The sequence below is a fragment of the Homo sapiens genome, chromosome 18, assembly GCF_000001405.40.
Source record: "Homo sapiens chromosome 18, GRCh38.p14 Primary Assembly".
Lineage (NCBI taxonomy): Eukaryota > Metazoa > Chordata > Mammalia > Primates > Hominidae > Homo > Homo sapiens.
In genome coordinates, this window is record NC_000018.10 from 24923542 (window position 1) to 24950860 (window position 27319).

Sequence of the window (27319 nt, forward strand, 5' to 3'; positions counted from 1 at the left end):
GTTCCCCTTTCCTTCTCTTACTCTTTTCTCCTTTTCCTTGAACATACTTCTCTCTTCATAACCAAGTTCCTATCTCGGGCTCCAATTATCTTCTATATCTTGACTCTTACTGTTTTCCCTCCAGAAACTTCCTTTTCTTTTCACTAATTAATTAGAAGGGAGTGTCCCCCCTTATCACCCATACCAATCCTACTGATCAGGAATCCTCCCTCTTCCCATCCCTGGGATCTCTACCCTACAAAGTTCTTGAAACTTACTCTTTTTACAGCACAGAGGGAAAAATATCTTGTCATTTGCACTGTCAGAGAAAAAGCTCTTTTTAAGTTTTTTGAGAAATATTGACAAATCAACTTGTTCATCATGTTCAATATTTGGAATAAGCAACCTCCATGGCTTTGTTTCAATCCTCATTTCATTTCATGAAATGGAACCTGTTCTCTTTGCAGACTCCCATAGTAAGTATCTTCCCCAAAGTACAAATCACAACAGCAAATCCAGGTTAAAGCAAGCTCTGTGGCAATGTGGAGCCTCAGACCAGACCCCAGACTCCTCCAAACCCCAAAACTGGTAGCCAAGGAAGAGGAATGCCCATGATTTCAGGGGCAGGGACCCTCTGCGGAGATTTCTCAGTCTCCTGTCTTAATGAGTTTAACTCCAGAGATGGGCAGCTCCAGGCTCCCCGCTGAGCGTAATTACCGTGATGGGGCACCTGGGGAGAGATTGTCACAAAGATAACTGGGTCTCAGGCTATTTAGCGCTTTACAGATGAGAGTAAGGTGGTGACTTGGAAAAATGGGGTCTGGTTCGGATAGGAAGACTGCTATGGTTCATTTTCCTCCCTCCTGTGGAAGCATACACTGTTGTGTTTTTAATTGATGTACGTGAGCCCAGGGCACAAAATGGACTCACGTGAGAAATCACAGGATACCAAGACTGGATGGGACTGGAGGGGTCATCTCGTCTACCCTCAGCCTCAAGGCAGGACTGCTTACAAGCTATCTTGGAAGGAGGGCCGACTGCCCTTTTCATCACTCCCTCCGGAGGACTGAACACAGCAGATAACCAAGGGCTACCTGGGCACCAGTGCACACTGCAAAGGACTATTTGTCTGGGTTTATTCTGGCTCTCCTTGCTTAAAAGCCATAGTCAGGGTCAGGATCAGGTCCCCAACACGGGCAGCTTAGAGCAGCACACCGAAATGTCAAAAATTCACCGGACAGCATGAATATACTGAAGAATACACAAAGAAAATATATTGAATCATCTTGTGCAAATTCACACCTCACCGAGGTGCTGAATGAGGAGAATGATCTCTTAACCACTGTCAAACTCTTCCTGTGAGTGCAGCAGGATGGGATAGGATTTCTGCTTTCCCCTAAGAAAAAGTTCATGGAGGACCTAAAACAGGGATTGGTGGAAGGGGGATTGGACAGCTGGTCCTGAGGCATCTAGATGCTGACATCCAGGCTCCTGCAGAAAGGCAGCACCTAACCATGCAGGTCAGGAGGAGGTAGGGGGTTTGGGAACTGCAGTCCCATTCTGGTTTTAGGAACTCCCTTGCCTGTATTAATGTAATAACATGGAGAGAGGTTGTGTTTAGGGCCCGATGTAGGCGAGCCACAGGGTGCGGGCTCCAGGAACTGGCAGAGAGAACTGTCCTATGGTGCTGGCCAGACTAGAGGACATCCGCCAAGAAGCCTGGGCACATTCCTATAATGCCAGGGCACAAGGGAAAGTTGTAGGGCAAATGGGCCCTGCTCCCTGCAAAGAACCGAAGTGGAGATTTCTCTCTAGACTGTCCACACCTGAAGCCACTGGATTTCACATGTCTCTGAAGCCTCTAGAGGAGATGAGGAACCCCTCATCTTGGCCAGAGGTTCACAAACTATGGCTCATGGGCCAAATCTAGCCTGTGGCCTGCTTTTGTACAGCCCAAAACGAAGAATGCTTTTATATTTTTAAAGAATTGAAAAGAAGAAGGATATGCACTACAGACCATATCTGGCCCACAAAGCCTACGTTATTTACTCTCTGGCCCTTTACAGAAAGAGTTTACCAACCCCCATCTAGGTCACTGATTCTCAAATTTCCATGTTCATAAAAACCACTTAGGGCACTTATTAAATCTGCAGATCACCCCGCCCGATATCTGAGTTAGTAGATCTTGGACTGGGCCTCCCATATCTGCATTCTAAGAACTACAGAAGCTAATTCTAATGTAGGTGAGCCTAAGATAACCTTAGCAACATTCCCTTTCGACTAATCACTAAGTCTGTATTTTATAATTTCTATGTGGCCTGCACTCTACTGAGTGTGGTGGGAGACACAATTTGTGGATGATAACTCCACTCCACTCCATCACACAATGCACGATCTTAGGTGGGGAGAGGAAAGTCCTTATATGAGTGATTACTCAGGGCCAAATGGCTTGGGGCCAATTCCACATCAACTGAGAGTTTGGGTGCAGGGCCACTGAAGCTGCCCTGAAGGCAACTGGTGCAGAACGGGGTGTTTGAGAAAGAGTAGGCAAGTTTGGGATATGCAGAAGGTTTCACAGACGTTTGCAAAGGCACAGAGCAGGAAGGGGCTTTGGGGACGATAGCTATGGAGGTACAGCCAGAGAGCAGAATGGCCTGACTGTGGAGCACTGTCTGGAGGGCAGCACTGCTGGGCTTCCTCTTCACAGCAAGAAATACTCAGAAAAGCAGCTTTTCTTCCTTATCTCCTGCTGAAGCCTCGTTAGATCCTAAGCCATGGCAATCATGATTCTGTATCTATCTTTCTACCTAAACTGCTTTTGCCACTTTTCACTCTTCCCCTCCTTGCATCCACATATCCTCTCTAAATTCTTAACCTCATTGAGAATTTTTTCATCACGCACTACGAAGTTATGCCTTTATTTCTTTGCAAATGTTATTCTTGTAGACTAGATTGTTCTTTCTATATCGCCTTCTTATTTATAGAGAAGATTCTGTCTCATATCACAATACTCAATTTAAGCATCATATTCTCCACGAAGCAAAATTTTTCCTAACCTTATTCCTTCTACACAGAGTTCAGTTATTTTTTATTTTGCACCACCCTGGTATCTTGAGCAAGGCAAAAGATAGGGCTTATATGTATTAGAGCTGTTTGTCTCCATTTCTATCTTCTGAATGAGACTATGACCTCTTTGATATCAAAGACCATGTTTATCTGCCTTCATTTCCTTGGTGCCTACAACAGTGCACACAGCAGTGATCAGTAAACATTTCCTCAGTGAATGATTGAATGATTTATGAGCAGGGCATTTTCAGCTTGGGAAAGCCCCTAAACATCAAAGGAGTGTGGCCTTGCTGATGCTATCAGTTCTTAAATAGGGGATGATTCTGTTTTAGGTTACTTATAAAGAAAATAATATGCATGGGAAGTGGGAGTCTAAAGATGATTCGTTGAATAGGTAAGAAGGCTGGAGCTTCTCCCTAGAGGAATACAACCTCATACTTCTATAATAACCCCTTGGCATCCCAGCATCTTTAAATTCAATAAATATATCTGTAGAGGAAGGTCACAGGTGAGATCTGAGCTAGACACTGTCCCATGTATATTGTGCCTTGGCTGGGCCGTGTGCTATTTGATAACCTGAGATTTCAGATGGAATAATATGGGAAGAGCTGCTGGTGCCCTGGAAGTTCTAGAAGACCAGAATAAATTTAAAAATAATAATCATTTTAATATCACCTATACCTCTAATCTCCCAAGTCTATTTAAATTAGACCTTAAATCTGCCCACAATAGGATGTGGTCCAGTAACAACTTATTTACCTTAAGGACAAGAACCAACACTACATGCAGAGAAACTGGAGAAGTTCTAGAAAACAACCAGAAAGTACAAAGACAAAGGAAAACAGGTCTATGGAAGTTCTGTAGAAGATGCTAAGAGGGAAGAAATGGTCTAACAGGCTACATGGAAAATGTCAATGGGCAAATGTCAGTGACGGTTGGGTTTCTAAGCCGTAAAGAGGAGATTCAAAGTAGGTGGGAATGTAGCAATTTTTTTCCACTTGGTGGTTTTAGGATTCTGAGTGTTGTTTGTCAGGGGATGTGAGTATTATTTAGGGGAATATGGTAGAGCCAACTATGTGGAGTCCAAGGATATCCAGCCAGGGTTTTTATTTTCCTGACTCCTCACATCTTCGTGGGACCAACTGGCGAATGCAGGCCAATGGAATGTGAACAGAAGTGGCAGGTGTCACTTTCAGGCAAGATGGTTAACTACCTAATGTGCCTTCCCCATACTCTCTTCTGCTTCTACAGCCACCGGAGAGGCCCTCGATTAAAGTTGGAGACATCTCAAGATGGGAGAAGCCTAGATCCCCATGTCACGGCTTGAAGGAGAGCCACCAGGAAAGCTGCCAGAAGAGAAATATCTTTATTGGTCTCAGCATGCAGGAGAAATTAACTTTTATTGGATTAATCCTTCGAGATTTGAGGTTGTTCCTTACAACTTATTAATTCAGGGTAGGAGGCTAGATTTCCAGGAAATTTTCAAGGGCCTATCAAGTCACAGCCTAAATTAGCATTTTAGGCAGGGCACGAGCAGGATAGGAAAGTCTTGGGTGGTCTTGGGGCAAATAAAAATGTAGGAGAGATCTTGGCCAGCAGTCCTTTTCCCCCATTGATTTTTGCTGGGGGCAGCAGCCTTCGACTCATTGATTTTAGCTGCTGATTAAGTCATGCTCTCCAGCCTGTCAGCAGTCACTTCATTTCCTTTCATCTTATGTTTTCACCTGCTTGAAGCTCCACAACAATCAGGATGTTGATTTCACAACTGAACATTCAGGAGGGCTTTAAAAATGGCTCCCATCCCTGCATGGCAGTTTTCAGCCCAGACTCTCCCTCTCTCCTCCAAGACAATTGTTCTCCGGGCTGATGCCTGTTAGCTGCAGGAAAATGCTAAAGCCAGAGGCAGCTGGTCTTCACAGAGGCTACAGCAGGGCAGAGTTCCATCTGGAGGAAGCTGGAGACCGACTGGGAGTTACCTCAAGACCAAAATGCTCCTTTCTCTTCTGCAGAACTAGCTGTGAAGATACCCAAGACCCAAAGCGAGATTTACAGCAAACAGGAACTAAAGAGCAGACGGCAGGTGGTAGCTCAGATGCCAAAGCAAGCCTCATTGCAGTTGAAGAGGGGCACAAAAATAGAATCGAATGTGGCCCAGAGTGCTTAGAGTGGGAAAGAAGATTCGAAGCCTCGGGACAGATCTGTAGGGGAGAGGGGGGGTGGAAATATTCTCCTCACTCACTTGCTCTCTCTCTCTCTCTGTCTCTTTCTCTCTCGCATCTGTGGTTGCTTAAACAAATAAACAAAACAAGATGGCTGTTGATGGACGGCTGTCCCCTGCACACCGACAGAAACATCTTCGTGCTAGGTTTGCCCAGCTGAACACATGCCACAGCTGATCCGTCTGTTGAGCAGGCCGCACACCACTGCTGATCAATCTTCACATGCCAATTATGTGATGTGGAGTGGGCTGGGAGGAGCATGCACAGGTGAGGGGGGCTTGGTGGAGGGAGAAAATCACTCTTGGGATTCTGCTCTGTGCCCCTGCTCTCGCCTTTGTCCCTGCTAGGAGACAGTGAGGGGACAGTGAGGGGTCCTCTCCTCCCAGCACCACACCATCTTATACGTAGTGCCCCACTAGACGATGTTTGGTGCCGCCTCCATCCACCTCTGAGGAGGGCCAATAGAATCCAAACATGAGAGCTTAGGATAGACAGGAGATTGGTTCCTGTTTGTGGCAGATGCAAATTCTGTCACCAGGCTGGAGAAAAGCCAGCCACTGTGCAGTCTTTTTGGGATTTGTTTGTTTGTTTGTTTGTTTGTTTTTTGCTCTTTTTTTTTAGATGGAGTTTTGCTCTTGTCGCCCAGGCTGAAGTGCAATGGCGTGGTCTTGGCTACTGCAACCTCCACCTCCCAGATTCAAGTGATTCTCCTGCCTCAGCCTCCCAAGTAGCTGGTATTACAGGCTCCCACCACCACCCCCGGCTAATTTTCTATTTTTAGTAGAGACGGGGTTTCACCATGTTGGCCAGGCTGGTCTTTAACTCCTGACCTCAGGTGATCTGCCTGCCTCAGCTTCCCAAAGTGCTGGGATTACAGGCACAAGCCACCGTGCCCGGCCTTTGTTAGGATTTCGACAGGGATAGAGATTCGTTTTGTGCCCTCTCTTTTCTTCTTCCCTACGAAAATAGGCACACCAGAAGCTTAACTCCCTGCACAGAGGGCTGGACTCTGCTGTCCTCAAGGAGGTCAACTCCCTTGGCAGCCGAGCCCCAGACATACTGATGGTGGTGTCAGTAGGGGAGTGGCCAGTTTAGCACGTGTGTGTGTGTGTGTGTGTGTGTTTGTGGTGTGTAGTCAACACATCTTCTCAATTTTTCGTTACCAGTTCAAGTAGCGGTCTGAGGGGCTCCCAGGGAAAGCTGGCAGGACCTAGCACATGAGAAGCCCCAGTGTCTAGATGGCAGTGTATGGAATGAAGAGCTCGTGGAAAGCCTGGGTTATGCTCCTGAGCCCACAGAGCAGCACACTCAATGCATTTCTAAGATTCTTGTCTTCTCCTCTCTAAACCAAAGCCTGCATAGCAACGGCAGAGGTCCTCTTGTCCTTCCTAAACTCAACTCTTCTTTCCTCTCCGTAAGCATTGGTTCATGCATCTTACTTACCTGCAGGCCAGAGTCTAGCCTGCTCTCCCTTCATAATCTCTTCCATCGCCTTAGCCAGAGGGACCTCTTCCTTCTCTCTATGCACTTTATTGTCTGAATATCTCATAGAATTCTGCTGCACACGATGTGGTTTGTGAATGCCACTAGATCATTACTCCAGTGAGTTCAAGTCCCTGTCTTGCACATTTTGGTGTTCCTGCACAGTGCCAATAATAGTGCTATTCAACTACTGGGCTTGAAATATATATTCACTAAAATGAGGGAGTTCTCAGGAAGTGGCAACTTGAAGATTTGCCCCTGCAAAGTATATGCCTCAAAAAAAAATATTAGCAACAAAGACCCTTACATGTATGCCACACTCCCTGCCTTCAAAGCTTCCTCAAGAACCAGGAAGTCCCGTTGACTGATCTGTTTCACAGTGGTTCCCTGGCCATTGCCCTCCTGCTGTGAAGCCACTGGAAACTTCCCTCATTTGCTATTATTTGTTACAGGCCCCAAAGTCAGAATCACTCATTGCTAAGTGTTGGTTTTCAGGCTCATGCAGAAGCATTTTCATTTGTGTCCTTTTTCATCTGACTCTTTAAACTAATCCTTCTTGACTTCAGATCTTTGCACAAACCTCCCGTGTCATCATCGGGGAGCTCTGGGCCCAGAGCAAAGGTAGGAGGCAAAAAGCCCCAAATCTGCACGTTTTATTTCATTGGTACATGTATTTAATCCATCTGCAAACTATTCATTGGATAGCATTGTAGGCTTCCCTCTCTGGGAACACTAAGGTATGTGTATTCAACAGTGGAAAATAAACATAAGATTTTATTACAAAGTGCCACTGCCGCTCCTGGCATGAGTAATTTGTGCACCTGCATTTTTAAAATGTTTCAAAGTTTTTCCCCTTGGTGGATTCCGTGGTAACACACATTAGCTTCCCGGCTGTCACAGCCTGGTTCTTGTAGGCCCCTGTGACTTCTGCCCATGCGATCCAGACGTCATTGTTTTCAGAGTAGATAGCAAACAAACGTGATGACTGCCCCTGTAAGCCTTTGAGAGTGCAGGTTCCTCTTTTGTCCTGATAAATGCCTTCCTCCCAAGAATTAGCAAAGCTATGGAGTGGCTTAATGCCAAATCCCAAGAGGTAAAGGACAGATTATCAAGGGAGGAATAAAAGTCAGGCTTTATCCCCAAAAGACATGGGGATGGTTTTAGAGACAAAAGCTGAGTTGATCCCTTCTGCCATGCTCTTTGCCTTGTAGTCTGCTGTTTCTTAAGCACAGAAACCAAGTCACTTGCAGCTCCTCACTGAGGTTCTCCAGCAAATCAGGCAACCCAGTATGATCTAGTCGGAACTGAGATGCCCCATTAGTGATGGAACCTGGCTCCAGGGAGCTTCAGGTTTGGAGAATGGTATGGAAGCATTGGAAGGGGAGAGCAGTATTACTTGGAATGGGACACAGCATCTTGGCTTTCTTTTATCTTTTCCTTTCTCTCTCTCTCTTTTTTTTCAATGATTCTGATTTTTGCAGGTGTCTAAAGTCAGCTTTGTGTACACAGTTCTAACTAAACAATTTCCCCTGTGATCTCTGTAATCTCCTGGAAATGTTCATTGATTCCTTCCAATGTCCCCCACAACAGCCCAGAAGACTGGCAATTTCAAGTCATCTTAGGCATGTTAATACTTTCTTAAAGTCATATTGCAGCATACTGCACACTTCTCCCTCAAACAGTGGGTCTCAGAGGAAGATGATAATGACCCACTGCTACATCAACTTGATCATTAGAGTTTCTGTCTCTCTAAGAAACATCAGGCAGTTAACTTGATCTAAAGAATATTTATTTATCTGTCCAATGCTGCAAATGGAGACAGAGAGAGCTCCACTGATGATAGAATCGCTGGGTGTGAAATCTTCATTGTTCAGTGTGATCGAGAGCAATGGAATGCTTGTTTCATTTAAATAATACCAAGTTTTCCAACACTACACACCATCTGCCTTGGGAGCTGCCTGGCCCAGGCACAGAATTTAATGTGTGTGGCATTTTTAATGGTTTAAATGCAAGTTTGTTCTGGTTTTAGTCCAAAGGGTGGTAGTGAAGTAGTAGGCAGTGTTTTCACTGCTGAGGCTCAGATTCTTCATTCTTGCTGTAGATGAGGCCTTCATTGGCCAACTGTCCATCTCTGAGCTTGACAGTCTAGGAAAATAATTTTCCAAGAATATATTTTTTTTTCTGGGAGAACAGGAAGAATCTTGCTTTGATATCCTCTGTGATTTTGTACACTAATACTTATAGTCAAGTCCCAAGTTTAAATTCTGGGAAACATTTCTCAAAGAATCCCCTAAAACTTTTGAACCAGGTTCTCTGATTAGTTCTGCCTTCCATGAATGTATGGACCATTGTCTAAAAGGAAAGACTCCTTGAATTGTAACTAAAACCAAATATAAAATGGACATGCACACACACACACACACACACACACACACACACGAGTTTATCTGGAGAGAAATCAAAGACTTATTTTGACAGAGACCTCTTGTGCCCAGGTTGCTCATGAATGTTATTTTGTGTAAAGAATACTAGAAGCAGGCTGGGTAACAACACGGGAAGTAAGTGCCACATTCATCTGTATTGTATAGTGAGTAGCATTTGATGATAAATATACCTTGTCTTGGATTCAATATTGCTTAGGCTCTGTCCACAGTTTTAGGCAAAGAAACTATTTGGACTAATTATTTCAACAATCCAGGGTAAGGATACTGTATCAGTATAAGAAACTCTAACTGTTCAAATTAACAGCTCTACAATTTCAGCACCTTAACAGAATAATGGTCTATTGTTCCTCCCACCCCTGTTTTAGTATGAGTTGGGGGTAGTGTAAGGCTCTGCACCATGAAGTCATTCAGGGATCCAGGCTCCTTCCATCTTTTGTCACCTCCATCTTTACCATGCAGTCACCAAGATAACCACAGAAAACTAAGAGAGAAATAGAATGTGGAACCTGTACCCTCACTCCTACTGTCTTGGTCCCAAAGCCCCTCCTCAGTACAAAAGGACTGGAAATGTAATCTGGGGCCAGTCTTTGCCACACCACATGCCATTGCCTTCATTACTAGATAGTTCATGTGAAAATATCCAGCTGCAATCATAGGGAATTGTTCCAGTTCTCTCCATCTCATTGTGTCTTGGAGCTGGTGGAAGGAACACTTACAGAGACACCTTCCTGAGGTACTACTTCATGAGTCCTAAGCCAGTGTCCTCCACAGGAGCAATGGCCTCATGGTGAGTGGTTGTGAACGGAGCTGATGACGTCACCATGGCACTCATGCCTGAGATGTTCTTCCATCAGTTTCAGTGACTCCAGTCTGGTTTAGTTATTCTTTAGAGTAGCAGGACTTCTTTCATTTGCAACTTGAAAAAAAATGCATATCAAAATTAGGCCATAAATATTACTTAATTATATTGAAATAATAAATACGTTAGTAAATCCTAGTTTATAATTTTATAATAAATTAGTAAATTACTATTTTCTAATTTATTTGTTATAAATTAGTAATATTTATAATAAACTTACAATAAATTGTTTATAATAATTTATAATAAATTCTCAATTATCAATTTCTTATACAAATTTGTTATACAATAGTATACATTTGTTATATAATATTCTTTATTTATATTACTTATACTAATTTATTATTTATTATTTACCATAATTTATGATACAGTATTTGTAAATCTTATTTATACTAGCATAAAATATTTTATTCTAGTGTTAAAGGTGCTGTGTTCTGAATTTATAGCCACATGCAGTACCAAATTCTTTCTCATTGCTCATCGTGTAAGCATTTGAACTTGCCTCTGACCTATCTGCTCCTAACACAATACTTCTGACCTACTGGGCCTACATTGTCAAAACTGTTAATAAATTTTTTCAGTCACTCTAAAATATTTCTTATATTTGTGACTTGTCCTATTTTTAAAATTGTAATAGAAAACAATAGAACAATGGGATTACTTCAAAAATTTTGCTAAAGGGTATTTGAACCACTTGGAGTAGAATCTACCTCGCTGCATTTATATGAATCCACTCCCTTGTGCCAGAGATAAATTTGTTGTAGTCTTTGTCTCTATTCTAAGTGTGCTATACAAACAGGGGCCTACTCCTCAGGAGAATAACCAAGCCAAGGATGTCATGTTCCATCTTTGTGATGAAATGCAGATTGGTCGTTAAAAGGCAAAGTCTTCATTTCCAAAAGCTGAATTTAAATGACGCTTTAAAAGATTTTAGCTAATGAAATTTAGTCCTCTCTCCTTCAAAAAAGAGGAATTTAAGAAAATGCTCTGGAACTTAGCCAGAGTATTTAATTTGGTTTCAAAATGCATACATTTTCTTTTACTTCATGATCTCGCCTTATAGTATTTTGTTATCTAGAGGCTTGCAGACAAATGTCAATAGCCTTGTTGAGTTCAGCATTACTGCCTGCTTGGTTTGTCTGATTTATTTCTGTGCCTCGTGGTTAGTTAAGCATAACCTGTGTGGTTTCTGGCTGTTCCAATAGCGAAAGGCTGTATGCACCAGGAATGGTGCTGCCACTCGGCACACTGTGGGTGAACCCATCATCACTCTGGCCAGGTTCCTCCTCTACTTTGCAGCCCTTTTCTTCATCTTCCTTGAACTAATTTGTTCAAGAAGGGATGACAGAGATGCCCTCTTCCTCTCCAGTATTTCTATCAGTTGAGGCTGATTTTTCAGTCTGGACTCTGCTTAGGAGGTTTTAGGTTTTGAGGGGGTTTAAAGATTCTTCCAGGACTCACCAACTAGTCCTGAAAGACTTCAGTTTTGGGAAGCCTTTTCCATCAGTTCCTCACAAATGTCCAAGCACGAAAAATCTCACTTGACTCCCTTATTTCTGTTCCCCTGGCTCGGATGAGTCACTATGGAGTTGGGTTGCTGCTGTGGGCTGGCCAAGGAGAATTGGATGAATGAACCCCTGTAACGCCATTCGATATAGCTGCTCTCAAATAACCAAAAGCTCTTATTGGAGTGGTAGCCATGTGCAAAGGCAGATCCTGCTTCCTGAAGCTGCCAGACCTTCAGGAAGATGCAATAAATGCAGTGACCTAGGAGAGACAGTCACTTTCTTTCCTATGGGATGCTGGAGAGGCAGGCATCACATCTAACACCTTCCAAGTTGTTTTGCTATGAACTCCAGCGTGGCTTTGGAAAATTCAATTTCAACCTGTCCCACACATTCCTCACCCTCAAGACTATGAGTGGAGAAATTGAACCCATGGATTCATGGTGATGATATGGTTGAGGTAGAACAGGTTGACAAAGGTGGTTTCTGCATGTCCAGGTCTCCTCAATGCCAAGGAATGCAGATGAAACATTTGTTAAACTAATCTGGTGGCCTCCAGTGCACCCACCAGCCCATGCCATGGTTCTGCATAAATGCCCATGGGGAGACAGGCAGCAGTAATCCAGACATTGGAGGATGGCACTCTCTTAAAGTGAGATTATGTAGCTCACCCTGGATGTGAACTTAGATGAGGAAAAAAACTGAATGACATTCGCAACCCGAAGTGATTCCACTTCATCATTTTGTACACATACATTCATGATGTGTTATATGTTATATATAATTTACTAAAGCATGCTTTTAAAAATAGATTTGAGGAGCATGGAGACCCCAGAAGTGTATGTTATTGTACTGGGCTTGAGTTTCTCTTTCCCTCCCACAGGGGACCTCTGAGGGTCTATTTGAGGGCATGAATATGGAAAATTCAGCTCCAGCTCCTCCACCCCACTCCCTGAACAGCACTGCAGAACTGTGCTAAGCTCCTGTGGCTTGGAAAGAACAGATGCAAGAGACATAGTAAGTATAAAAGGAATTTGGGGAATGGGTCCTAAGAATCACCACGTTTCCTATCACTCTCAGAAAATGCATCTATTTTCAGGGGGTACTGTACATCTGTGTGGCTCCAAACCACCAATTATTTTTCCAAGCAACATAATAACAGCTTTCTTCTGAAAATGTCAAACACTCAAATGAAATACAGCTTCAGAAATTTTCACTTAAGTTGATTTGTTCCAATTACTCAGACCTGCCTTGCACCCCTGCCCCCCAGCACATAAAAGGCAAGTTCTGTTTTTATCATCCTGTTCACTTTTTCCAGATAAATAAAGAGACAGGAAACAAGAAGGCAGGAAGGAAGGATTGCAGGAAGGAAGGACGGAAGGGAGCGAAGGAGGGAGGTAGAGAGAGAAAGAAACCACCTGAATTCTACAAATCCTATTAGAATACAACCACCCAGGACAGGAAATATCATTGAAGAAGGCAAAGAGAATACTGTCCCAGTGTATATCTGCACCCCTTTGTCTGGGCACTGAAAGGTCACAGATACCACTGGCCTTCCTGTTGAGCCACTCTGAATTTAATCTGTTGGGTTTGATTTGCTGAATGTATATGCACGTCAAAGATTGTGAGCATGGATTATTTATAAGATGTTCACTTCCAATTAGTGTGGCTTAAAACGTGAGCTTCAACTTGGCACGCAGGAGCTGCAGCAGCCTGTTCTGAGAAGGTTGGGCAGGTCTGGGGGTAAGCAAGCCTCTTGCTGAGCAATGGTGTGAGCCAGTGGCTAAGGTAACATTTGGGAGCAGCCCTGTTTTGAAACAGGTTCTTATTTCAGATAAACAGTCCTGCAAGTGACATGATAAAATACATATAAGGGTACATTTTCCAAGGGCTGCCCAGAAAGCAATGCATATAGGCCCAGAGACTGTTAGGTCATTTTGACCCATTACTCCTCAAGTACCCACTTGGCAAATTGATGGAGTCACATTTAGGACCCATGTCCGCTTTGGTGGAAACCCCATTTTGTACCTTGATGGAGGCTCACAGATAGTGGCTTCTAAATTCCAAGATCTGGTATGAAGGAACAGCTTCTGGGAAAATCAGTTTAATTTACCCATTTTTTAAACCAAATCTAATTAACCAAATTTAATTAACCCATTTGCTGAGGTTAATGAAACCCTTGTTAACCTGACTCAGAAGGAGGCTGGAAAGGAGAACTTTTAAGCTAAGATTCCTAATAGGCTCCATGCCTCAGGGAGCCACGAACCCGTCAGAGAGAGGGCACCAGGTGCATGCTCTGAGGCTGCTGACTCTGTCCTGGAAGCCCGCAAGGGGCTGATTTGAACAGAGACCAGGATCAGAAGTGTGACCAGCACGCTAGACTCTCCTGAAGTTATTCAAAACCCGACTTTGTTATTTAGTCTAAAACAGAGTGGACCTCCAGAATCCTGACATGTTCCACTGAAATTGTGGCCGGGCACTCCAACACTGAACGGAAATGATTTGGGGATGATGTACACCATCGATTAGCCGACCTGCTGCTCCATGTTATGGGGGCCTCCTTCTCCATCAACGGTATTGGCGAGGCAGCCATAAAGACCCAAAGCTATGATTCTCTTGCCTGAAGTTTAGTGTCAGTGCAGTGAACTGACAAGCTCAGCCTGTTTTGTAGTTGCCAGGAGTCACTGTTATAAAACTCCCCTTCATCTGGCATTGGCCAAAAGCCCTGTCAGCTGACTCAGCCAAGAAGGTTTGCACATCGTGAAAGCGGGTGCCCTTTCCTCCCTTGCAATGGTGTTTCCTTAGCAGTTCTTTACCCTGGCTGTGTTTTCTGACCCTTCGGGGACAGTTATCATGCTAAGCCTGTCCTTGTCTGGAGAGTGGTTCATTTCTTTCCTGAATGCAAAGCTTGTGCTCAGGAGGTAAAGAATGGGCCAAACCTCTGCAGACATACAGAGAGAAGAGGCTAAATAGGCACTTTCTGCAGTCAGAGAACATTCTGTCAGGACACAGAGGAGCTTGAGAGTTCCAGAGGGCACAGTATCAGGAAACCATGGAGGTCTTTTCTTCTCAACTCAAAAGATGGTGAGATCAGTTCAGGACTGGCCTGGCCAAGTGAAAAGATTTGGAGACATCACACATTGCTGCATGCAATGAGCTCAAAATCTAAGGTTGAGAGAGGAGGGGTTCACAGCGGCATGAGATGCACTTCCTCCCACACTGAAAGCTGCTGCTTCCAATTGGACCCTCCGTGCCAGTGGCCTTGAGGTAAAAGAGCAGAAATACAAAGTGAAGCATTTCTACTGCTTGAAAGGAATACATTTAGCATGCCCCTTCCTCCTTCGATCTTTCGTAGGAAGACTGTGCCAAATGCCAGATGAACAATTTTATTCCTGATCCACCAAAAAGGGAAGGAAAAAAAAGCAACTGAGGCTTATAGGAAGGATCTCTGCAGAACAACGTCAGTGGGAAAACATTATAACAAGACTTGGATCAGATTTACAACAGGAGCAGAGCTTTTTCTTTATTGATTATTTTAAGTTTTTTTCAAAGAATTTTCCTGGGACTTTAGAAAAATTCAATGGAAGACATTACTTATTTGCTTATGGGTGGAGATGGCACTTTTTCTAAGAAATATATGTATACATATATTTCTAAGTAATATATATATACACATATATTTCTAAGTAATATATATATACATATATTTCTAAGTAATATATATACATATATTTCTAAGTAATATATATTTCTCTATATAAATTTATATTAGAAATTTATATATATAATTTTAATAATGTGGGTGGAGATGGCACTTTCTTTTTCTAAGAAGTATATATATTTCTAAGTACTATATAGGTGTGTCTATGTATATATATACCTATATAGTACTATATATGTGTCTATATATACCTATATAGTACTATATATACTTCTAATATATAGGTATATAGTATATACATTATAATATATAGTATATACATTATAATATATAGCATATACATTATAATATATAGGTGTACAGCATATACATTATAATATATAGGTGTACAGCATATACATTATAATATATAGGTGTACAGCATATACATTATAATATATAGTATAGAGTATATACATTATAATATATAGGTATAGAGTATATACAATATATTAGAAATTTATATACATATAAATTTATATACATGTAAATTTATATACATATAAATTTATATACATGTAAATTTATATACATGTAAATTTATATACATGTAAATTTATATACATGTAAATTTATATACATATAAATTTATATACATGTAAATTTATATACATATAAATTTATATACATGTAAATTTATATACATATAAATTTATATACATGTAAATTTATATACATATAAATTTATATACATGTAAATTTATATACATATAAATTTATATACATGTAAATTTATATACATATAAATTTATATACATGTAAATTTATATACATATAAATTTATATACATGTAAATTTATATACATGTAAATTTATGTGCATGTAAATTTATATACATGTAAATTTATACACATATAAATTTCTAAGTAATATATATTACTTAGAAATATATAATTATATATAATATATAACACCAAACAGAATATATAATATAATATATAATAAATTTAATATATAAAATTACATATGTTTATATGTAGTGTGTGTGTGTACATATATATATATATATATATATATGTACACACACACACAAAAGCACAGAATTTGGCATTACTTAGCATGGAAAATATAATATTTTGGGGGTGTTTTCCTAAAAATGGCCTAGCCTTTCAAATATAAAGCATCCTTTTCTTAAAATGTCTTAAGTTTTAGCCATCTCCCTCATTCTTTTCCAGATAAATGCCTCCAAATAACTTAGTCCTCAACCTGAAGCCAAAGTGATTTCGGTGTACCAGGATTGAAATACTTCTGTATTCACAACTGAATGGATAAACGGGCACTCCTTGTGGCTCCTCATTGTATGTCCCCTAGAGGGTCAGCAAGGCCAAGAATTGGTTTGTGGAACAAATATCCATTACTCCAATCGGGGATGAAAAAGAGTACACGCCATGGATTTTGCTCTCGGGAGTGATTGATTCAGCGAGTGAAATAAGACCAACATGCATGGAAGGGTTGATGATGCTAGAATCTCCCACACTTTGCCAGCCACAGGGAAGTCAAATCAGTATTGACTTTGTTATTCAAATCAGCACCAGACCGGTCACTTTTAGAAGTGATACCATGGGAGGCAATTAAACCCAGGAAAATGCTGAGCACTAGAGTGACCATGCAAGAAGGGGCCTTAGAGATAGATCCTGTACGTCTTCACCTGTTGGTGCCAGGGCCAGAACAGAGGCCTGCAAGGGTAAGAGCAAGCTCAGCACCACAGAACTTGTAGGTAACAGAGCCGGGCTCAAGTGCACGCTTCCTGACTGCAATTTCAACACTCCCATTCAAGGTGAGAGTGAAAAATATTTTCCCCTAGGCTTTCCCCAGTGATATTCCCCTATGCACCAGCAGAGCATGAGGGTATGAGACGAAGATGCACATCCTAGCCCTAGCTTTGCTACTGACTAGCCACGTGTGTTTGAGCAACTCACAAAACTTCTCCAGATTTCAGACTCCTCATTTGTAAAATAAAGTCATTTGATTTGTCCATTGCTCTCCATAGTTCACCAAAGTGCCCCTCGTAGGAGAGTGGAATGGATGATGTTTAGAGTAGAAGCTTGGAGATGTGGCAATAAGTGACCTTGTGCAAGTGAGAAATGCACTCAATATATTGGAATTTGTCTGTCTTAATAATTTGTGTGGCTTCTACATTTTACTTAGTAATATATCTGTGTTTGCTTTCGGGTGAAAATACTGTTTGAAATGTCTTACTATCCATGAAACTTGGTTTACCAAAGAGGGCCTGTTTTCCCTGAGGTACAAGGACTAGAAGGTTTTCTGAGGCCACCCCCAGCCCCCATTCATTGATTTCGTGTCTTAAGTTGTTTGTGTTTTTTATTTTATCACACCCTCCTATTTCTGGTTCCCAGAATGTAAGTAGTTCTCCCTCCACAATGTTCAACAGTCCTCAATAATGCCCGGCTATGTGAAGATGGAAAGATGAGGGAAAATTAGCACCATAAGCAGAGTCTGGAAAGGTACACAGACATTTAACAGATGGAAACAGGAGGGCTGCCATTCTAGAAAGATATGAGGACTGCTCATCAGCCTGGCTTCCGCTAGAGGAGATCTACTTTGGTGTCTAGCCAAATTTTGATCCTTTGCCTTAAATCTTTTCTGGAAAGAGATGGGCTATGAATAAATATTTGGATTTAGGAGGAATTAGTTTAGTTTAAACATCTCTGAAAAATACCACATTATCTCTTCTTCAGATGCAAATCTTTTGAGTACCTAAGAGTGGATTTTCCTCTCTCTGGAGTCAACCCCAAAACCAAGCCTAACTTTGCCTTGGTTCTCTGATTGTGGCTCCCATCACCTCTGGAAATGTGGGGTGACTGGGAATGGAAAGCGTAAAGCCGGGGGATGCAAAGAAAGATGGTTCTCACCCAGTCTCTGGGCATTTATCAGTAGAGAGGGAGGTCAGCCAAGTTCCTCATCTGCTACAGCAGCAAAGGCGATCTCCCCAGTGACTTTTCCAGATGGAAAAGTGCTCTGAGCTTCTGACCATCTCCCAGAGGATAAAGGGAATTTGATGAGGAGAGACTTTTGCTCTTCGAGGCAATTGTGCCTGCATGCATCAAGCTGTTGGCTGGCATCTCCAAGCACCTTGCACATAGTAGGCACATGATAGTGATTTGTCAGATGCACAAATCAATACCATTCTTCCACCAAAAAAGAAAAGATGGCAAGTGGTTTATGAAAAAGAACATTCCATTACAACAGAGCATCTCGGCCCAGGTTTAGTGTTCAAGCCTATGTACAGAATAACAGACTAACCTAGAAGAGGATGGAACTATTGTGTAACCAAATGATTTCCACTCTGGCTGCATGTTAGAATCACCTGGTACGCTTCTGAAAAATGCTGATGCCCCACTTGAGAGTAATTGAATCAGAAACTCTGGGGAGAAGCCCAGGCATTGGTATTTATTTGTAATTTCCCAGGTGATTCTGGTGCACAATGAGACTGTGAATGACTCATCTCTCCAGGCAGGTGGAATGATTTACCCAGGATCCCACCAGGCTGGGGCGGGGCCGGGGAAGAGAATCCAGGTCTCCCCATCCAACCCTGTGTTCTTTCCCACACACCACATCAACTCTCCTTTGGCCCTGTGGCCTGTGGGATAACTTGCACTTTTCCACTGGGAATAGGGAGCCGCAGTTGACCCACTAACCCCCTGGAAACAAGTGCCTCGGCACCATGGGAATTTTCCTGGTCCTATTTGTGGAAATGCTCCAACCTTGGATGTTTTTCCAGTAAAGGATATTATGAGCAGGGTCCCTTTGGTAACTATCTATAAGCATTATTTGTGAGGCATGGGAAGATTCTGGCCCCAAAATATCCTCTTTGCCTTCAGTTACTTATGCTACAAGGCATGTTATAAGAATATTTTAGGGGGTTAAGAGATATTAGTTATTAGAATATAAATAAAGCTGTGAGTAGCCCCTTCTCTCTTGCTAGTCTAAATGAAGTGTTGAAGGTTTAAGTACCTAGCACAGTGCTTAGCTTTAAGTTTCACAGTACTTAATGGCAACTACCTCTTATCCTATTCTTGTTATGTTTGAATAAACCATGCAGGGTCTTATGTACATTCTCTAATTTAATTATCACTCAAAACTTAGGAGGCAGTTTATATCCTTGTACTAAAATGAAGACACTGAGGCTCACATTTAATTATGATGCCTATAGGTTTGAATGAAACTGGAAGTTCCTATTAGCTTGAACTAACCCCTTCTGCTTTACCTACGAGGAAAATGAGGCCTAGAAAGGTGCTGTGATTTTCTCTGGGAATATGTATCATGTTCAATTGTTTATCAGTGATTCATGTCATAATTAATGTATCAGTTCCTTTCAAAATTAGAAAAGGAAAGGCCTTTGAGTCTCTCTGTTTGGTGTTCAAATCCTGGTCTGACCATTTTCTGGCTGTGAAAAAACTTACTTAACTTGAAAGAACCCCACCTTTGGAAGGAAAGGAGGAAGGCAAGGGAAGAAAAAGCAGAGAAAGGGAGGAAAAGAAAGAGGAAGGAAAAATGCAGAGAAGGAGAAGAAAAAGAAAAAAAGAAAAGAGAAGAGGCAAGGAAGGGAGGGAGAGGACCATTCTCTACACAAGGCAGAGACAGAAGATACATGATGAGGAAGTGGTTGGTGGTGCCAAGCCACTGAAGGTCAAAGGGCGCTTGGTGTTGCCTTCTAAAGGATATTTTCTTGAATCCAAGATTCCAATCAGAAGTCCAGAACCTGCTGCAAGAAGGAGGAGAAGGCTTGAAACTGGGATAAACAGAAGGAGGAAAAGTGTAAGTGAGAGTTTCTACAGAAACAGGGCAGGGGAAGAGCTGAATTTGTTCCAGAGAAATTCAGGGACAAGAAAGATGTGAAAAGAAAACGCCAATGTTGGGTTCATGAAGGCTCTGAATGGCTTCCCTATAGGACTGAAGCAAAGGGCGTCGTAGGAGTCTGAGGCATGAAACAGTATATTCCACCAGAAGAATGTATGTCTTTGAAGTACCCTGCCCCACCCCCCCCGAAAAAGGTCCATCGCAGACTATAGCTTTTGAAGAAAAAAGAAGGAAAAACTGGTGAAAGTGAATCAAAGGAAGTGATAAATCTGTCAGTGACCCTCTCCTGAAACAAAGCACATGATGCTTAATTAATGCATTTAGCTGCCTGACCAGAGGAGCCTGGTAGTCAGGCCCACCTCCAGAGCCTCACCTAGTTCTGGAGCTCTTTGAAGATGAAAAGCACTTTTAAGTGTGGACTCGGACGATGACCACGAATGCTGTTAACTCCATGGGGAAAGAAATAAAAACACATATTAAATGTGTTATAATACTTACGAGCACCCTTTGAAGGCAGTGTCCTCTAAACATAGGAAGGCATACATAAGGAAGTAGAGAAAAATGAGAAGGGGGTTGAGGGAGGTGGAGAGGCCAGGGCAGGCCTGGTAGGGGTGCTCTCTAATGCCACACACTGGACAGGGTGACAAAGAAGGCTTTAGGCAGAAGGAGGAGGGAACGGTGGGAGAGAGGACACTACCAATATGAAATGTCAAGTGCCAGGAACTGAGAAGAGAAAACTAAGGCCACTCTGAGACTGGGCCATGTGAGAAGAAAAGAACTGTGTCATGGTGAGGTAGAAGTCATTAAATGTCTAGAGAAGGTTCATTACCCACATTTAAAGGCATCAAGCACCAAGACTTTACTACTAGCCTGGGAAAACAGTGAAAGGGGACGTGAACAAGAAATTCTCAAAAAGCAGAACAGCGCTCCTGGATGAGAAACTCTGTAGAAGCTGAAAGCTGCTCCTCAATGGCCTTTCTCTCCCTGTCTTTCTCTCTCCTGCCTCTGTGTGTCTCTGCTATCTATCCAACACTCATCAAAGTTAGCTGAAATGACAATAGGCAATACTCAAAAATGAGGAAAAGCAAAAAGTGGCATCCAGAACAAAGGTAGGGACCTGTTTACATGAACCATGTGTATTAGTGTATTTCTTTTTCTTTTTTTTCCCCCACTTAGGGAGATTTCTAAGGTAGCAGATGGACCATTCAAAGACTTAGAAAACGAGGCCAAAGAGATGAATAAATGGTGAGAGTAATGAGTCTTGCTTTTAAATGGAATTCGTAATTTCTTTCTTTTTTTTTTAAATTAAATTTAATTTTTTTTTTGAGACAGGGTCTCACTCTGTTGCCCCAGCTGGAGTGCAGCAATGCAATCACGGCTCACTGCAGCCTCAACCTCCCAGGGGCAAGCATTCCTCCTGCCTCAGCCTCCTAAGTAGCTGGGACTACAGACACATGCCACCATGCCCAGCTTTTATTTTCTTGTAGAGACAGGGTCTCGCTATGTTGCCCAGGCTAATTTATTTCTTTTAATTATTTGATTCAAGAACATAAGAGCATATCTGAAGTTTACTCATAAATTTGGGGAGACTTTCATGCCATCGGACTAACCCCGCAGAGGAGAGCAAGAAGAGGCCAAGTGGTATGGCAGAAAGAACATGCAAGTGGCGGCCCCAAGCTCCAACTGCTTTTATTTGCTCCTCTGGGGACATTCAGCCTTGGCCTGTTACCAGATTCTGAGGTTCAGTTTTCCCATTTGTGTCAGAACTATGGTATCTCAAAGACTGGACTCAAGAAATCTCTTTTTCTGTATTGACATATCACCAATACTTTGTGAATAAAATTTTGGAGCTTTGCCATTTTCATTACCTCCTGATACCTGTTTCAAAAAAGTACTGCTTTCCAGGTATCAGCTTATGAATCTGGGAGAAATCGCATCAGCTGTACTTAAGCCTTCCTTCTGCTAACTTCCTGGTCAAGACATTGTTGAGTTTGACGCTTCTTTCTAGGCAGCCCCAGTACAGTTTCTTGGGATGAAGTATGTTCAAGGCACCTTTCCTATTCTACCCTAATAAAGTAAGTGGATAGGACCATCTCTCAAGTGTTCCTGGGCCACCTCTTCTTGTGTACCTTGGACACATCCATTGGGAAGGCCTCAGAGCATGGTGAGGCTAAGACCTGGGTGTAGACTAGGCCCTCTCATGCATCAGCCGTGCGGCTGGAGCAGATGTTACTCTTCTTGTGCCTCAGTTTTCTCATCTATGAAACAATCATAGTAAGTGTGCTTCAGAGAGTTGTGAGTGTTAGATAAAATAGTACATAAAAAACACTTAGCACTATGTCTGTTTTAGAGTGAAATCAATAAACGTAAACTATTATCATAATGTCATTGTCATTAATACAATTACCAGGAGCTTATTACATAATGAGTAGCCACAAATTAAATTCTGCTCACTGCTCTCGTTGTTCATGACTCAGATGTTTTTTACATCCCCTTTCTGATTCTTATTGCTGGGTAGTTTTTTTTTTAATTAAAATATAACAAGCCAGATATTGTTTAACGATAACAGTTAATTCAGAAGAATTATTTTTTCTCTTTTTTAAACACTTTAATTCATTCCACCTACCTTTATATTGGGGTCCTCAGGGTTAATTAGGAGCAACTTTGTACTTGGATAGTTGGTTAATCACCAAGAAGAATGCTGGAAGAAAGCTACTCATATGCTTTTCATCTCAGCATCCAATTCCCAGGAAACCTGGAAAAAACCATTTTACTTGTCTAAGGCCACCTACAGTATTAGGTAATTATTAAAGCTGATTGCATATCAGAGCCTAAATACAGTGCTGCAGAACCGTGCTCCCCTCATGCTCCCCTCACGGCAAATGAATCAGAGACGCTGCCATGTATTTTTGAAGAGTAAATCTTTGTGCTAATTAATTATATTAATATCAACATGTTGATATTGATATAATTAGCACAGTGGATGACACTGATATAATTAGCACAAATATTTACTCTTCAAAAATAAGTGGCAGTGCATATGCATATAATAACGTTAATAATAATACTGAGCTGTTATAGCATCACTTTCTCTGAGGAGTTTACAAAATACATAAATAGTAAATAATTAAAACTCAAACTCCGTTGAGAGCTTTGATAGCATCATTGAGCAAAGTTGAAGGGGTTTATGCAGTCAGAGTAACCTCATAAATACATTCTGACAGGGGCATTTTTTGCCCGAACAGAAGTGACTCTCTAAGCAGCTATCAGTAGGCCTAAAACTAAGAGATATACCAAATTCTGTAACTGAATTGAAACTGAATAGGGCCCTGTCTCTTTCTTTACTCTGATTCATGTTCAACTAATCTAAAACCACAATTATTTTATTCTAACATGAAACAGAATTGGGTAAAAGCAAGGATGTTGGGATACAAGACAGAAAATATATTCAGGTGTCCTTGTCCGCAGCGTCTTTTACGTAGAAAGACCATGGTCTTGCTAAATCTATCCAGAGGCCATCTCTCTTTTGTTTGAAAATGTAGACTCCACACCTCATCACATAATTATATGTGGTACCATGAGAAGAGAGGTGGCATGGTGCCTAATGGTTCCATTGGCACTCTGCTGTCAGGAGCGATGAGAACCAACTTTCCCACTGTGTTTGTGATGGGAGATATTAATCTCAACCAATTTCTTATTTCTTTATTTCTGAGAACAGGCTAATTGAGTTTCACATTCTCTTACCATTACAAGTATATTTACTGCCACCAGCACAGCATATATGCACAGAAACACACACATACATATCTGCACATGCAAACAGATAAACATCACACACAAAACAAAACATAACTGTGAGTTCCAATGAACCCATTGATAAGCATGAAAGATACAGGCCAGGAGACTTTTAAAATATGTCGCATTTACAGAACATTGTGCTTACTGGCAAACATCGGAAAAGTAAAATTGGCTTCATGGACTGACAGAAAGAGACATTAGTTATTTTAACCCTCTTTTCCTCTAAGCACTAACTTCTATAATAGAGCATCCCAGATGTTTTGCTTCTTAGTGCCTCTTTGGATGTGAAGATTGCACAGCAGGAGGCAACATCTGGGGGAGAAAGGAGAGATTGTGTAAGAGACTTAGGATATTGGTGCGCACCCGGTTGTGATTCTTGGATATGTTTCAGAGAATTTTTTAAAAAGGCAGCCTCCATTGTAATTATCATTTATAATTAATTTCTGGGTGCAATAGCAGAAGAGTATTTCAATATTCCAGTTTTCTAGAGAAAAAGGATTTTTCTTGCATTTATGCAGATTTAGAATTTCAGCTGCAAATTGACCTCCTTACCACAAACCATATTGTTTTGCAACCTCTTAATACATAAAACTGTTTTGGTCCTTCAGTGAAAGATGTCATTTTTACCATAATGAGAAAAACTGGAAAGTCTCAGCATCTCATGAACGTCATTGCTCAGACAGTGCTTGGTTCAGGGAGGGTTTGAGGTTCAATCCTGATGCTTATGATTGTCTCATTTCACTCTGACATCATAATTGAGACTAATCTCCACTGATTTTTTTCCCTTACGTTCGTTCTTGCTTTCAAGTTTAATCATCCACTACAATTCGGACATAACAGCAGTGGAATGGGTGTTTTCTGAAAAACACACATTGGAATCATTTTGCATTGTAGCTTCAGTTCATGATGTTTTGCTAAGCAGGTATCCAAAGGCACACACTGAAATCATTTTGCCAGCATACTCTTGCCTTTTAATAGCTTCCTAACAGGGTATCTGAAGAAACACTCTTGAAACATTTTGCCCTCCTAATTTTATGTTGTAATGACATCAAAATGTCATAAAGCAATTACCGTCCCAAGCACAATGATCTTTAGAAGTTACTTTCTCTATAGGCTCATTAACTCCTTTCTAGCTTTAATATCTTGATTGTTTAAAAAAATGTTTAATACTAATTGAGAGGCTTCATTTAGAACTGAATACCATTTATTTAGCACCATCTCTCTCTTTCTCTCTCTGTCTGTCTGTCTCTCTCTCTCTCCCCTCTCTCAACCAAATTGGACTAAGCTGACAGAACCCTATATTTATAGATACACACACACCTTCTGACTGCTCCAGTTAAGATTCAAAGTGGAACTGATCTGGTACAAAGCAAAAATCAGCCTAGTGGATTGCTTTGGAGTCAAAGGAAACAGTAGATAGTGGCTGTGTCCTTGGCAGTGAGCACATCCCAAAGTTTCTGCACTGCCTGAAAAACGTGAGGCTGGGTACTCATTATGGGGTCTGGAAGAAATGTGAGATGCTTAACTGGAGAAGTTCTACGTGGCAACACGACCATCTGATTCCAACCACACTTAGTTCTAATGACTGAGATCCACCAGGTATATTTCTCCAAATAAAAATGCTAAATCAAGGGAACAAACAATGATGCACTGGATTCAGTTATTCTGTGATGTAGGCTGTGATTTGCAGCTATACCCTCCTGAAACATCTGTAGGAAGAGTTAAAGCTTAAGTTTTCCTCTGGGCCATTTGAAATAAGTAAAGAATAGCCACCAACCTCTATCACCTTTTCTAATATAAACATTAAAACAAATGTGCTTGTCTCACATGTGCCAGATAATATTCATAACTTAACCTTTAACTGTCTGAGCACATTCTTATCTGGATAATGGAAGGGTTGGAAATGAGCTCAACAAATTTGCACAACACAATGCCAAGGATGTAATGGCCTCTCTACTCCAATCAAGAGATAAGATGGTCTCTGACTTTTTCTATAGACTCTCTGTCCATGACTAAACAACATAGCTCTGTTCTTGCCAAATATTTTTTTTTCTGTTTTAAGCATCCTCAAAGGTGACCCATAGAGTTCTAGCAACCAGTTTGATCATAGAAAAGAGGCAGAATGATTGGTTCAGATGTCTGAAAGTAAAGCTAAAACTGGGAGGAGCTACTTGGTTAATAATAAATAACAAGAAAGATAGATGAATAAAAATAAACATCTTAATGATTTACCATTGCTATGAAACCAATAGGCTGGTAATCCAATCCGATATCTGCAAATTTGTATAATCCTCAGGGCAAAACAATTTAATGGGCTGTCTCTTTTATAGTTACAAAAGGCCTTTCATGTGATCAATTATACATAAGAGTACAATAAATGTAACTTTCTTCATACTAATCACATCTAACTTAAATTCTCTTGTTGGTCTTTGGAGTGTATGTGGCGTTCCCAATAAAGTTTTTAGTTCTGACTCTTACCAAAAGTTAATCTGCCCAGAACTTCCAAATAAATCCTCAGTATGAGAGCCTTTTTTTTCACACTAAATAAAACTGTTCAAACAATACGGTTTGTTAGAAAACTGCCACCTCCTCCTGTTCTGGCCCCTTCCTCGACACAACAATCCTGCTGCCTCTGTAAGCCAGTGGGCAGTGGGGGGTTGGTTTGATTGTTTTTCTTCTGTTTGGTTTTGTTTGTATTTTGTTGAAAAGGCAGCCTAACACTGTGTTAACACCGTCACCTGAGGCTAACAAAACTTGGCTAAGAGATGGAGATTTCCAGTCCTCACTCCAGTGACAGGTCCCAGAAGGCCCTCAGACCCTCCCAGATTCGTATAAAGTCTAAATTCCCATCTGTTTTATTATACGTTTAATTGGTTTGCTCCTCTATGGAACAGGAAAGTAAAATGAAACCCCTCATCATGTGCCACTTAAGTTAGGGGTAAAGGTCACGCTGACTCTCAAAGAAGTGTAAAAAATAAGAAATGACTAAATTCCTCCCAGTTGCCTAAGTCAATCAGTTGATGCCTGACTCTGAGTTGGTTGATTCAATAAATTGGTTTTTTAGCTACTATTAAGTACCAGAAACTATTCTAGATGCTGTAGATATGGTTATAAGTAAGAATTAACTCTGTATTTGCTTCCAAGAGTAGAATGGACTTTAAGACCTCCCCTGTTCCTAGACACACGATATACAATTCATTTCACAATGGGAAGCATCTCAGGACATAAAGTATAGGACTGAGGAAAAGAATAGAGAACATCAGTGGGTTATTTTCTTCAAGCATCCAAGAAGAAAAGGAAAGGTTTCTCAGAAAGGAGATTTCTTAAGGTCCTAGTTGGGGGATTACTTAATCCCTAGAGGACCCATTTTGGAGTTACACATCCTGAGAAAGTTGCATGTATGTGAATGTTTAGGAAAATCCAGGCCTAACTACTAAAATAAA

General features: G+C 41.3%; 1 long non-coding RNA gene across 1 annotated transcript in view, besides 1 other annotated feature; it reads right to left on the bottom strand.

The window, feature by feature from the left end:
* Positions 359–1044: an enhancer, noted in NCBI's record as "OCT4-NANOG hESC enhancer chr18:22503864-22504549 (GRCh37/hg19 assembly coordinates)". NCBI's record gives its function as "activates a minimal SCP1, AML or CMV promoter by ChIP-STARR-seq in naive H9 embryonic stem cells {active_cell/tissue: H9 hESC(naive)}" and the evidence as "EXISTENCE:reporter gene assay evidence [ECO:0000049][PMID:30033119]".
* The window catches only part of LINC01894 (long intergenic non-protein coding RNA 1894), a 55206-nt gene continuing 37119 nt past the window's right edge, over positions 9233–27319 (bottom strand). The window contains exon 2 of the long non-coding RNA NR_146903.1: positions 9233–10106. This is a non-coding gene — a long non-coding RNA (long intergenic non-protein coding RNA 1894). The remainder of the gene's footprint in view (positions 10107–27319) is intronic.